Raw genomic sequence first — 15,319 nt, forward strand, 5'->3', positions numbered from 1 at the left:
AGTGAAGAGGCCATCAGCTTCAGCTCATGGACCTGTTTGGCTCTGCCCTCAGAGGGCTGCCTTTCTAACATGCCTATTTCTGTCCTCCCAGGGACTCTGTGTTCTGCCAAAATAACCAGGCCACCAAATTCTCAGAGGCTGTGTGAGGTTAACCAAAGACCTCAAAGAAACTAGGGAAAAAGGCAGGAAACCTATATGCAAGAATTAAAGAAAGCTACCCCTAACACCTTTCCCCCATACTGTTTCCAGAGCTATTGCTCTGGGTGCTAAGGCTGGACACAGGCGCAGAGTCAACAGGAACTGTTCGGTTTCCAAAAAAACAGATTAAAAGGGCACATTATATATGTGTGCCTCTTGCATATATAATAGTTTTAACAACTTGCCTCCACCTCACATGGCTGCCTTTTTACGATAAGCTCTAAGTGAGCACTCAGAGGGACTTTTTGAGTTGAATAAAATCCCACTGGAGGGACTATTCCAGAACACCCATCCCTCCTTCTCAACCAGGGTCCTAAATGTGCCCCTCCCACCCAGCATGAAGTACTTAGTGCTCTTTACCTGAGGCTGCTGTGCAGTCGCACTGTCCCTTGAGCTGAGGTGAGGGAGAATCACGTCCTTAGTGAAGTTACCACTCTGAAGCCAGTCTGCCTGGTTTCAAATCCTGACTCTCATTTATAAGCTGTCCGAATTAAGGCAAGTTATATGACCTCTTTGAGCCTCAGCTTCCCCATCTGTAAAAGAGGGATAATAATAGCATCTAACTTACAGGGTGCTGTGAGAACTGAAGGGGTTTAATATGTATAAAGTGCTAGAACAGTGCCTGGTATATAGTAAGCATTATACTTAATGCTATGATGATGATGAGCTGTAAATACTAGTCCAGTGAACAGCTGCTTGGGGCTGAGGCAGGGCAGCCATGACAGGAGGGAGCAAAGGGAGAAAGACCAACCAGTTCAACTCTGAGCCGAGGCACCACCTGGGATGTCCCTCCCTGAGCCAGCACACCTTCTACTGGGGGTGCCTCTGTGGCCATCACCTTTGCCATCTCTCCTGTCCCCCAGTTATAGCATCCAACAGGGATGAGGGGTAAATGGAAAAAATCTTGAGCAAGGTTAGCCCTCTTAGGAAGAACCTCACAGATAAAAACAAGACATAGGAATTACTCTCCCAAAGGTGATTCAAGCCATGTGGCCTTGGCCAAGTCACTTTACCTTCTTCACTTCTCTGTGCTTCAGTATGCCCATCTATACAACAAGGGGTCTGACCAGATAATCACCGGGCTCAGACATTCTAGGATTCTTCTATTCTAACAGACATTACTTGCAAAGAGGCATCATTCTACTGCTCTCCTCTCATCTCATTAAAAGAAGACTGAAATGCCAAAGATACAACTTTTAAAAGTGTTTTATAGCAACTGATTGTGACACAAATCAGAAAGGGTTCACTAGTCAGCTGGGGAAGGGCCCCAGGCTGGTCACACAAAGGCACTCTAGCCACCTCCATCACTTATCACTTCCCTTCTCTTCCCTACTGTCTGCTTGATCCAGGTCACTACTCCTACTTCTGCAGATCTGATTCAGGAGGGCAGCCCTCTTTGTTCTACTCACCTACCTACCCACGCCTTCCTGCAGGCCTGTTCAAAGCCTCACCAGCCTCTGCTCTTGGGCCTGCATCCACACCAGCTGCAGCCCTGGTGACACTCTTGGACCTCAGCTGTGCCCTGGGCAGCAGAATGAGAGTGCCAGAGGTGACTACACAGGCCTGGGTGCTTCCTAAGAGAGCCCAAAAGAAGCCAACAGAAGGCAAAAGAAAGGCTAGAGCATTCTCTGCACAGGATTTTGAATGTTTATAATAACATCAAACTATCTGCTTGCATCAGAGGCCATGCTGTCTCAAAGCAGCCCCTCCTCCACTCTCCCTCCTTTACAGACAAAAGTCCTATAAACTGACAAAACCTTAAAATTAAACGGAAAATGAAATTTACCTTAAGCCAACTAAATACATGGAGCTGGGTCAGGTTTAAGTCAGGTCTGCTTTTGTCACATTAGCTATGGTCTTCTGAAGACTGGAGTATGTTTAAGATAATATTCATGCTTTATAGCCGTGCTTTTTTAACTCTGCACTTGCCAATTCAGTTACCTTCTCCTATGAAGTTTGCCCTTCAACAATGAGATTAGTAGGTTGATTAGGCTGGTGGAGACAATCATGTTTACAATCTTCCTAAAACATAGAGCTCTCCATGAACAAGAAAGGCAAAAAAATAAATAAATAAACAAAATTTTTACTCCTTTTCTTCAATTTTCTCTAGAGGCTAGGCATATTTCTGATAGTTTTAAAGCTGTGGAAAAGCTTTATTATAGATTTTAGTACAGAATTTAAAAAGTTCAAACAATAATTGTTTGGAACCACAAATAATTAAAAGGAAACACAGCAATCCCATAAACAAGCATTCTGGCATCTGTTAGAAATTTTCCCTCAAATTATGAAATGTAGCTCTCCATGCTTTCCAATGATTGTTATAATACCCACAAATATCTGTGATTTCAGTGGAATACTTTAACAAAAGTTTTCTTTTTAAGGCATGATCCTGATTCATTTTTTCTTCAATATCTCAGTCATTTCAGGAACTACCTGCAAATAAAAACAAAAAGTAATTAAGCAACTAGAGCCTTCACTGTGATATGGTCACAGCTCCGTAAGCATTACAGGGAGGCCAAAAGAAACAACACAAATCACTGTTGAGGCACGAGGGCCCCCTCCTCTCCACCAGGAACCCCCTGTTCTCCGGTAGTCTCTCTTCCCACCCAGGGCGACTACCCAGGACCCAGGGCTGACAGGGCTTACAGCCCACTCATTGCCTAGGTGCCTTTTGCCTTTTTTTTTTTTTTTTTTTTTTTGAGACAGGCTCTCACTCTGTCACCCAGGCTGCAGTGCAGTGGTACAATTATGGCTCACTGCAGCATCTACCTCCTGGGGTCAATCACTCCTCCCACCTCAGCCTCCCAAGTAGCCACCAACCTGTCTAATTCTTGTAGAGATGGGGTATCGTCATGTTGCCCAGGCTAGTCTCGAACTCCTGGGCTCAAGTGATCTGCCTGCCTCAGCCTCCCAAAGTGTTGAGATTACAGGCGTGAACCACTGCACACACTGCTACCTTTTGGCTTTGTGACCCAACCACAAATTTCAAGAAGGCACCCTAGAAACAGGAAGCCCAATTTTTCTTGTCTGGGTGAAGAGTACTGTGTATTTACCTTCATGTTTTGCTTGGCATTCTTCCCACCCTTAACTGCATTCCTGACTTTCCTTCCAAGTCCACACCAAAGTCTCTAGCTTACTGCAATTATGACTCCTGCCAACCTCCTTTATACTTGTTCTCTCACTGTTCGTTCATTCATTCATTGTTCATTTCACAAACATATTGGTTGCTTTTTCAGCAGCATGCTACTATCATCTGGCACACAGAAATGTGCTACATGCTGAACATTCAATATCATCACTCTTTATTAAAATCAAGACCTTGTGTGCTAATGCAGTGGCCGGTCAGCAGACACAGTAAGAAACCACAGCAAGGGGAAATGGCCTGAGTTGGCTCCCATTTTAAAAAGGATTAATTACTAACCCTTAGTCGTGGCAGTGCAGTGGCTGCAACTGGAGCTTCCAGTGTAGAGCTGCTTTGTGACTGCTTGGACAGAGGAGAGCTGTCCAAGGGGGCTGCAGGGAATGTCACACAGATACTCTGAAAACTGGTCCAGCCACTTGTGCAAAGTATCAATTACCCAGTCTTCCAAGGGGCTTTCGGCTGCCTTAGCTCACAAAGATTCCAGCTGAACTCACCACTGATGAATACAGCCTCTCAATTATTTAAGAGAGCTACATTTCCATTAGGTGGAAATAATGTGTTCGTACAAAATTTATTAAGGAAATTGTCGACATGTTGTTTCTTCCGAATGTCACTGTCTCCAGCCTATTAAAAGGCCCATGTTTACCATGGAGCCAGCAGGCATTTGCTCAGGGGTGGCATTAAGTGCTGGCACCACTTCTCCCAGCTTTCCTCAGTGGAGAGACCATGAGCTCATGCCAGTCACACAGATGACATGCTAACTGAGTTTCACACGGGACCTGTATATTTCATGAAAAATAAGATAAAGCCCAACTACTTTTACCACGAAGTGAAACACTAATTTGGTTTAGAATATATAACTTTTTAAAATTTTACCGAATATATCCTTACCACACTCCCCATGAAAGGGTTGAGAGGATTTTCTCTATCATCTGTCTTTTTTTATTAGATCAACCACACACTTTTTTTTTCTTTTCCAAGACAGAGTTTTGCTCTTGTTGCCCAGGCTGGAGTGCAATGGCGCAGTCTCAGCTCACTGCAAGCTCCGTCTCCCAGGTTCAAGCAATTCTCCTGCCTCAGCCTCCCAAGTAGCTGTGATTACAGGCACTCACCACCACACCCGGCTAATTTTTTTTGTATTTTTAGTAGAGATGGGGTTTCACCAAGTTGGTCAAGTTGGTCTCAACCTCCTGACCTCAGGTGATCCACCCACCTCAGGCTCCCAAAGTGCTGGGATTACAGGCGTGAGCCACTGCACCCAGCCCAACTGCACACCTTTAAAGCATACCACATGATGCCTTATTTAGGAAAAAGGAAATGCTAACTCAGGTTCATTGAGTGTCTGATGGCCTGAGCACACTGAAAGATCTGGATTCTTGTTTCTGTTCTCTTTTAGATATTGCAGAGGCAGCTCCCTACTCAGTAAGACCCAATAAAAGTCACTTAAGTTTTTTTAAAAAAAGACAACCTACTGATATAAATCACAGTACAAGTATGTTTCACTCATTCACTTAGTACTTCCTCCAGGTAGTACTAAGGGAAACAGAGAAGCTCTCTGTCACTGTGGGAGTGACAGAGGAGTTCTGCCTCCTAGTTGGCAAGCATAGACAGAGAGGCCTATGAACCACCCAATCAGAAGTGTCCTCAGCTTATACTGGAATGTAGGAGAAGGAGAAGAGAATAGCATTAAAAGCTCCAAATTCAGGAGTTCTGAGGAAGATCAGTGTGGATTAGGAAAATTCAGAACATCAAACTAAAGAAGAAAAGGATTCTAGGCAAAAAATGAGGCACAGACAGAGATAAACAACTGCAGGTTCCAGAGATAGTAAAGAGATTGTAGTGACTACAGGGGAGAAGAGGAAACAAAAGAAGGTTTAGAAAGATAAGTAGTTTGCCAAGTTCATTCAATGGGAACAGAATAGTCTCTTTGAACAGATAGATGGTGCTGGGACAACTGGATAATCACATGCCAAAGAATGAAGTTGGACTCCTACCTCACACCATATACAAAAATTAACTCAAAATGGATCAACAACCTAAATATATGAGCTAAAACCATAAAACTCTTATAAGAAAACAGGGGTGAATCTTCATGACCCAATATTTGGCAATGGATTCTTAGATATGATGCCAAAAGCACAAGCAACAAAATAAAAAAAAAGATAAATTGGACTTCATCAAAATCTAAAACTCTTGCACATCAAAGGATATTCTCAAGAAGGTGAAAAGCTAACCTACAGAATGAGAGAAAACGTTTGGAAATCATATCTCTGATAAGTGTTTAGTATCCAGAATATGTAAAGAATTCACACAAGTCAACAAAAAGAGAAACAGCCCAACTGAAAATGGGCAAAAGAGGTGGATAAACACTTCCCTAAAAGAGATATACGAGTGGCCAATGAACATCTTTTCATATGCTTATGTGCTTAACATCACTAGTTATTAGGAAAACGCAAATCAAAGTCACAATGAGACACCACTTCACACCTACTAGGATGACTAGAATTAAAAAACAGAAAATAACAAGTGTTACTGAGGATGTGGAAAAACTGGAACCCTTGTGTACTGCTGGTGGAAACGTAAAATCATGCAACTTCTATGGAAAGCAGTTTGAAGGTTCTTCAAAAAGCTAAACACAGAATTATCATATGATCCAGCAATTCTACTCCTAGTTATATACCCAAAAGAACTGAAAGCAGGGGCTTGAGCAGATACTTGTAGGCCAATGTTCACTACACTATAGATTAGGCAATGGGTTTCTGTTTTTTGTTTTTTTTCTGAGATGGGTTCTCTTTTGCCCAGGCTGGAGTGCAGTGGCATGATCTTGGCTCACTGCAACTTCTGCCTCCTCCCAAGTTCAAATGATTCTTCCATCTCAGCCTCCCGAGTAGCTGGGGCTATAGGTGCGTGCCACCATGCCTAGCTAATTTTTGTATTTTTTGGTAGAGATGGGGTTTCGCCTTGTTGGCCAGGCTGGTCTCGAACTCGTGACATCGAGTGATCCACCCACCTTGGCCTCCCAGTGCTGGGATTACAGGTGTGAGTCACCATGCCTGGCTGGCAATGGTTTTTTAGATATGAGACTTCAAGCATAAGCAACAAAGAAAAAATTGGTAAGCTGGATTTCATCAAAATTTAAAACTTTATTTTAAAACTTTTTCTCCCCCTTTTTCATAGGCATTGACAAAATTTAAAACTTTCATGCTTTAAAGGACACCATTAAGAAAGTGAAAAGACAACCCACACAATGGGAGAAACTATTTGCAAATCAAATATTCAAAAAGGGACTTATATCCATAATATATAAAGAACACTAACAACTCAAGAACAAAAAGATAATGTGATTTAAAAATTACAAAGGATCTAAATAAACTTTCTCCAAACAAAATATACAAATGGCCAATAAGCAGATGAAAAGATACTAAATGTCATTTGCCATCAGGGAAATACAAATCAAAACCACAATGAGATACCACCTCACACTCATTAGAAGGGCTATATTTAAAAAGACAGACAATAACATACATTAATGAGTATATAGAAAAACTGGAGCCCTCACAAATTTTTGGTGGGAATGTAAAAGGGGGCAGCCACTTTGAAAACAACCTGACGGTTATTCAAAATGTTAAACTCAGAGTTACCAGGTGACCCAGCAATTCCATTCCTAGACATCCATCCAAAAGAAATGAAAACATAGGTCTGCACAAAACCTCATATGTGAATGTTCATAGCAGCATCATTCATAATAGCCAAAAAGGGGAAAAACCCAACATGTCCATCAAATGATAAATGAATGAACAAAATGTTACATACCCCTACAATGGATATTATTTGGCAAGAAAAAGAAACAAAGTACTAACACAGGCTATAACATGGATGAACTTTGAAAACCTTATGCTAACTGAGAGAAGCCAATCACAAAGATCACATATTACATAATTCAATTTATATGAAACATCCAGGACTGGCCAATGTATAGAAACAGAAAGTAGATTAGTGGTTGCCAGGAGCTGGGGCTGGGGGCTGGAGATGCAGAATGTAAAACAGGGAGTGAATGCTGACAGGTATGGAATTCTTTTTGGCATGATGAAATGTGTGATAGTGGTTGTGTAACTGTGAAAATACTAAAACCCACTGAATTGTACATTTTTAAATGGTGAGTTTTATGGTACGTGAATTATATCTCAGTAAAGCTGTTATACTAAAACAAACAAAAAACAGGTGGTGCCCTATGCCCTATCACTGTGACTACAATTATAATATTTACCAGCACCTACTATGTACCTGGACAGAACAGGCAGGCTAATATTTGTCACAGACTCTATTAGTATTAGGTACAGTATAATCTCATTTAATCTTCATTACAACCTTTAAAGAGGTAGTGTAATATTTACATTACTTACAAGCAAGCTGATGTCCAGAGATTAAATAACTTAGCCAAGATAATTTAACTAGTATGTGGCCAAGGCAGAATTGGAATTAAAGCTCTTAATTACTATAACATATTATTTCTGAGGGAAAAACAAACTTGTCCTTTATAACTAATGATTGTTGAAGGGTCAAGCAAAACAATTAATATAAGAGAATAAAATGTTATGCATATTCATTTTTACTCCAGATACGGTTCTACTTGGTGAGCAAAATATCACCTAGGGAATTATTAGTCTAACAGCTGTATATACATGTTATACATGATACAATTTGCAATTTAAAATTTTCACACAAAAATTAGGCTAAAAAAGTCCTTTCTGTACGCTATTATTTGACTTCTATTTTCTTTAGATCATAAGCCAAAATAGGTAATGCTAATTAATTCTCACCCATAATTTGTATAATTAATTGTATTTCTTAATGTTATATAAAGATATTACCTTATATGTTTCTTAATGTTATATAAATATATTTTTTAAAATTATAATTTTAAAATATAATTACAATACATAAAATACAAAAAATAAAAATAAAATATTAAAAATATAAAATATATAACATTAAGAAATATAATTATACAAATATTGTATTTTTTATTTTTTAATCAAAAGTATTAAATATTTGATTTTTAAAATATTTTAAATATTTGATTTTTTAAAAACGAGATCGCCCCAGTAAGGAATATATTCACCAAACCACTTTGTCTGTGCTCTTGTGTCAGAATTACTACAGTATTCACCTACAATAAGCTCATTCTGATTTCAGCTGAGAAAACAACTTCATGCGTACTCTGTAGGTTCCTAGAGTCTGTCAAAGGTGCGATTTTTACTGCACCTTATCCAAGGTACAATAGTAGTGGTGAGCCACCCAGCTGTAGTACCTGCTGAGCCAGAGAGGCAGAGAAATGAGAGAGAAGGGGAACAGAAGCAGGACCCTGGCTTAGTTGTGCCCATAACCTGTGGATTGTCCCAAATCACATCTCTCTGGGACAGGCAACTTAAAAAGAATGCACCTGGCTTGTGTTACTCACATGGTAACAAAGAGGAGTCTGCCATATGTTTAATATTTTTATAATCTTTAGTTTTTTTCCCCCAAACTGAATTTTTTTTTTTTTTGAGACAGGGTCTTACTCTGCTGCCCAGGCTGAAGTGCAGTGGTGTAATCATGGCTCACTGAAGTCTCAATCTCCTGGGCCCACGTGAACCTCCTACCTCAGTCTCCCAAGTAGCTGGGACCACAGGCACACGTCACCAGACCCAGCTAATTTTTGTATTTTTTGTAGAGATGGGGTTTCACCATGTTGCTCAGGCTGGTCTCCTACTCCTGGACTCAAGTGATCCGCCTTTCCTCGGCCTTCCAAAGTACTGGGATTACAGGCATAAGCCATTGTGCCTGGCCTCCCAAACTGCATTTTTTAAGGAGTGATTAACTTCTCTACTTTTGTATTAATCAAATACATATATAACTGTACTTCAGAACTTTTTTTTTTTTTTTTTTTGAGACAGAGTCTTGCTCTGTTGCCTAGGCTGGAGTCCACTGGCACCATCTTGGCTCACTGTAACCTCTGCCTCCCAGGCTCAAGTGATTCTTGTGCCCCAGCCTCTCAAGTAGCTGGGATTACAGGCATGCATCACCATGCTCGGCTAATGTGTTTTTCACAGTTTTAGTAGAGACAGGGTTTCACCATCTTGCCCAGGCTGGTCTCAAACTCCTGAGCTCGGGTGATCCACCCGCCTCGGCCTCCCAAAGTGCTGGGATTGCAGGTGTGAGCCACCGCTCCTGGCCATGTACTTCAGAACTTCTAAGCTGTAGGAGATAGTCATTGCCTTAACACAATTCTAGCTAAAAGAACATAAACATGATATCTTGGTCTGAAGTCTCTCTCTAGTCCAATGTGGGCTTCCTAAAATACCAAAAGGAGCCTGAGAACCTGAAACTGGAAGTCAGCTGACTAGATGATTTTTAAGGCCTCGTTCCACTTCACTGTCTTAGGACTCTTTCTCACTGAGAAACCTCCGTGTCCACACACATGCATAGTCTCATGCCAAACCTTGGAGCTGCCCTTAATGCAGGAGCACAATGTGTGTGACCCCATTCTATCAATAATGACTACAAAGAAGCTCCTGCCCCAAGGCAGGTGTCCACTGGAAGAACACTGAAAATTTCCAACTGCTTAACAGTTTATCTTTTTATCATGAAAGCCCCCATGTGAGTTTTAATACATAGTACACAGGCAGACAGAAAAATGTAACAAAATTACTTACAAGTTTATTAAAATATTCTCTTGAGGAAAAAAGGCAACCACAGTAGACATCTACTTGCAAACATGGATGAGGTTCAGAAAGTATTTAATTTTGCTTTTAAATAAAAATAATATTTACCCCCTATTCACACCAATAGTAAGAACTGAATTCTTACTACGTGAACAAAGTTATCATTACACAGAGAAAAAAAAATTCTCTTTTTCATACCAGCCCCCCTTCCCACTGGAACATCTTAGTGGGAAAATGACTGGCATTACTGTTTGTTCTTACACACTTGGGCCAGGCAACATGAGCAGCTGACCTACCTGAATCCCAAATACCAAATACAGAGCTTCAGGGTTACTGAAGAGGGGTAATGTTTTTCCCAAGCCAAAATCTAAGCTCTTTGGCGGGGGCCTTCTGAGGGGAAGTATGCCCAACACTGAGCCAGAGCAAGAGCCCCATCCTAGTCTTTGCATGCAGTCTGAGCCATCACGGAGTAATCGGCTCAAGGGTCCTATTTCCATCCTTCACTGAGCATGAACATACTTCAAAGTACAAATGTACTCTCCAAGCACACTCACTAGGTTCCTCTAGATCATATGCAGTGCTGGTGAAGTCACAGAAATGGGCCAGTCCTCTTGCTGAGGGAACCACCTGTAGCTCTGTTCTCAGGCTGAAGCCTCTCCACTAAGGCCCATAGCCCCTCGCTGTGGTTCTACATGAGGGGTTCCTCACCCCAGCAAACCCACTTCTCCTAGGGTTGGATGCTATTTTCAGAGTGTCAATTCCTGCATAAGTGATTTCTGCATAAGATAACCTAGAAACGTGTAGGCAGACCCAGGAAAAAGAAGAGACCAGGCCACGCATGAGTCATGACCTTTAAATGTAGCCAAATGAGTATCAGGTGCTCATCACCTGTAATTCACTAATTAATATCATGAAAGTAATTTTTCTCATGGGAAGGTCAAATATGGAGGTGACGGCAAGAGAGAAGGAACACTCAAAAGTGAAGAGTGTGAGGAGTGAGAAATAAGTGCTCTCCCTACACTCGTCAGCTAAGGAAGGCCATTAACCCACAAACACAGCAAGCAGAGCATTCCTATTGAGACAGATAAGCTGGATATGGGTGCCTACTCTCCCCTGAAAAGCTCTAGCATTCTTGGCAAATCCCTGAATAAGGGGGTTTGATGTTAATTTCTTTAGGGTACCTGCCAAATATGATTCCAGGTTATAAATTACTTGAATCACTTCACATTGTGCATTAACTTAGCACATGAGATGCCAAAAACCATGTGGGTTTTTTTTGTTTTGTTTTGTTTTTGAGACAGAGTCTCTCACTCTGTCACCCAGGCTGGAGTGTAGTGGCACGATCTCTGCTCACTGCAAGCTCCGCCTCCTGGGTTCACACTATTCTCCTGCCTCAGCCTCCCGAGTAGCTGGGACTACAGGCGCCTGCCACCACGCCCAGCTAATTTTTTGTATTTTTTAGTAGAGACGGGGTTTCACTGTGTTAGCCAGGATGGTCTCGATCTCCTGACCTCATGATCCGCCCGCCTCCGCCTCCCAAAGTGCTGGGATTACAGGTGTGAGCCACCACGCCCGGCCGCCATGTGGATATTTTAAAGACAATTTGGACTCTTTCTTAAAAGGAAAGTTATAATGCTCTATATAAACAACACATATCTACTCTTAGAGCAACTTAACTTTAAGTAGGTCAAAATTGTGTACATATATTAACAGTATACATACAAACACAGACACACAAACACACAATGTTTTCTTTTAATAGCTTCATCCCTAACCATTTCTGAGAGTTTCTCGGATGACAATCTAGATAATAGCAATTTCTCTCAAGGCCAGCTTACCTTAAATAAATCTGCAACTATTCCATAATCTGCCACTTGGAAAATTGGAGCTTCTGGGTCTTTATTAATTGCCACAATTGTCTGTGAAATAAAAACAAAGAGTTTGACTTTTACCAAGAAAACATTTCACACAGACTGATAGTTCTATTTTAACTTCCAATATATTAATATTCTTAAAATGTCTACCAAATAAGATTTGAGGCATCTGTGTCAACACTGTAAATTTATTAGAAATTTCCAGGTTGGAATGTAATAAAATTCTCTCTTACCCACATCTAGCCCATCTCAGTATTAAAGAGTTTAAAATCATTATTTTTTAAAAGTTCTTCTTTTGACTTACAAAAAAAATATTTGATTTTAGGTGAAAAAGTAACAAATCTATACCCAAATCCACAGCCTTTGTAGTGCAAATTATTTTGTCCTTCATTTATTATTTTAAAATTATTATTCTGGAGGACAGGCACAGTGGCTCATACCTGTAATCCCAGCACTTTGGGAGGCCAAGACGGGTGAATCACCTGAGGTCAGGAGTTCGAGACTAGCCTGGCCAACAGGGTAAAACCTGTCTCTACTAAAAATACAAACATTAGCCAGGCATGGTGGCATGTGCCTGTAATCCCAACTACTTGGGAGACTGAGGCAGGAGACTCACTTGAACCTGGGAGGCAGAGGTTGCAGTGAGCAGAGATCACGCCACTGCACTCCAGCAGTGAGACTCTGTCTCAACAAAAATAAAAATAAATAAATAGGCCGGGCACGGTGGCTCACGCCTGTAATCCCAGCACTTTGAGAGGCCGAGGTGGGCAGATCACAAGGTCAGGAGATCAAGACCATCCTGGCTAACACGGTGAAACCCCGTCTCTACTAAAAAACACAAAAAATTAGCCGGGCGTGGTGGCGGGCATCTGTAGTCCAAGCTACTCGGGAGGCTGAGGCAGGAGAATGGCGTGAACCCAGGAGGCGGAGGTTGCAGTGAGCCGAGATCGCGCCACTGCATTCCAGCCTGGGCGACAGAGTGAGACTCCGTCTCAAAAATAAATAAATAAATAAAATAAAATACAATAGAATAAAATAAAACAATTATTCTGGGATATTCTAACAATATGAAAGCTAAAGTATCTTGTCAGCCTGTTAGTAAGGGACGTTAAACAGCTTTAAGTCCTTATGTACATAGCAAATAGATTAATAAAAGAAGCAAATTACTTATATCTCTTATAAAAGCTGTCAAACATTTCTCTTATTTGCTATAAAAATATTCTTAAATGCAGGCCAGGCATGGTAACTCATACCTATAATCCCAGCACTTTGGGAGGTGGAAGTGGGAGGATCACTTCAGCCCAGGCGTTCAAGACCAGCCTGCGCAACACAGGGAGACCCCATCTCTACAATAAAAAATAAAAGCTTATGCCTGTAATCCCAGCACTTTGAGAGGCTGAGGCAGGCGGATCACTTGAGGTCAGGAGTTCGAGACCAGCCTGGCCAATATGGTGAAACCCCACCTCTACTAAACACACAAAAATTAGCCAGGTGTGGTGGTGCGCACCTGTACTCCCAGCTGTTTGGGAGGCTCAGACAGGAGAATCGCTCAACTCTGGGAGGTGGAGGTTGCAGTGAGCCAAGATTGTGCACCGTATGTTAGCATGGGTGACAGAGTGAGACTCTGTCTCAAAAAAAAAAAAAGGAAAAGCTATCATTCAAATCATTCTTTTATTAATATCAGATAGTTTATCAGTACAAATAGTTTGGTATTCCCCACAGATGCTTCTAACACCACTGCAGTTAGACTCTAATGTAGTATTATTTTAATAGATTGTGGACTAAAAATAATTCAAATCTCTAGAAGTAAAATTAAGTTTCTACCTACCTGGCATTGTATGTTGTGAAAACAGCTGGTATTAAAAAATACATTAAGTATTTTGATGTAGCCTGACTTAAAATACAGGCTACAGGATATCCAACATCTGTGTATTTCCCTTAGAGGGGTTCCTCAGAGAGATGTGCAGAAGATGCCAGAATGTCTAAGATTGGAACATGGTATAGTCCAGGTAACTGCTAATCCAGAGAAACATGCTACACACATTAAGATGCATAGTCAGAGACAATAAACAAGTTTCAAACGTGAGCCTCAAATCCAAAGGCACAAGAACAAACATTCTGAATTGCAGGTGTTGATTTGCATTGGCGTGTTTCTCTTTTGGGAATGTGTAACCTGCTTCACGGCGATAAGCAGAGATTTGTTTAGTTATTGATGGTAAATTATTCTTCTAGAGGCCACTTAGTCAGACATCTGGGAGTTTAATCATCCGAAAGCTTTTTCATTATACTATATAACAATTGTTATTATCATTATTACTTTGAGACAGGGTCTCATTGTGTTGCTCAGGCTGGAGTGCAGTGGTACAATCAGCTCACAGAAGCCTTGATCTCCTGGGCTCAAGTGATCCTCCCACCTCAGCCTCCTGAGTAGCTGGGACCACAGGGGTGTACCACCATGCTCAGATAATTCTTTCATTTTTTGGAGAGATGGGGTTCTCACTGTGTTGCCCAGGCCACTCTCCAACTCCTGGACTCAAGTGATCCTCCTGCCTTGGCCTCCCAAAGCGCTGGGATTACAGTGCCTTGGGATTACAGTGCCACTATGCCTGCCTTAAAAGTTATTTTTAAAGAGAGAGCATATAACTGTGGGCAAGGAACCACTACAGTATTTAACAAAAAAGATGTGGGGCTGGTTATTGTTCTTCAGATTATTAAAATAATATTCCTAAATAATCAATTGTAAAGAACTATGATAAAGTCTTGCTTGTATCCAAAGCTCTCTCAATAGCTCCTCACAAGCTCAAGTTCTTCCTCCTTACTAAGCTTTGAAATGCATAGATTGTATTCAACCATATTATTATTATTACTTTTTTTTTTTTTTTTTTTTTTAGATGGAGTCTCGTTCTGTCACCCTGGCTGGACTGCAGTGGCGCGATCTCGGCTCACTGCAGCCTCCGCCTCCTGGATTCACGCCATTCTTCTGCCTCAGCCTCCCAAGTAGCTGGGACCACAGGCGCCCGCCACCATGCCCAGCTAATTTTTTGTATTTTTAGTAGAGATGGGGTTTCATCGTGTTAGCCAGGATGGTCTCGATCTCCTGACCTCAGGTGATCTGCCCGCCTCGGCCTCCCAAAGTGCTGGGATTGCACGTGGCCTCAACCATATTACTGTGTATTAGTTCAGAAAGTGCTTTCATTAGATTCATTTGATTTAACAATCAAATCTTGAATTCCTTCAACTAAACCAGGATTCTAATTAAAATTGCAGCTTGCAGGGAATGCAACTGTCAGATTTAAACCATTCTAATATCCCATTTTAGAACTAAAGACTGTCTCCTATGCAGATAATGGGGCTATGACAACACAGGACGACACAGACAACAGGATAAGACAGTGACAACA

The 15,319-nt window shown here is 41.3% G+C and overlaps 1 protein-coding gene across 3 annotated transcripts in view; it reads right to left on the bottom strand.

Moving 5' to 3' along the window:
* ETFA (electron transfer flavoprotein subunit alpha) overlaps positions 1,387-15,319 on the bottom strand; it is a 96,117-nt gene continuing 82,184 nt past the window's right edge. For 2 of the 3 annotated variants that reach the window (NM_001127716.2, NM_000126.4), the window contains 2 exons: positions 11,883-11,963; positions 1,387-2,631 (listed from right to left, as the gene is read on the bottom strand). In NM_001127716.2, the coding sequence (NP_001121188.1) occupies positions 2,593-2,631; positions 11,883-11,963 (120 nt within the window). In that variant the 3' untranslated portion in view covers positions 1,387-2,592. Of the gene's footprint in view, positions 2,632-11,882; positions 11,964-13,746; positions 13,901-15,319 lie in introns of those variants that run through there. The other variant, XR_007064434.1, reaches the window with a different exon arrangement.

Source organism: Homo sapiens, chromosome 15 (genome assembly GCF_000001405.40).
Source record: "Homo sapiens chromosome 15, GRCh38.p14 Primary Assembly".
Lineage (NCBI taxonomy): Eukaryota > Metazoa > Chordata > Mammalia > Primates > Hominidae > Homo > Homo sapiens.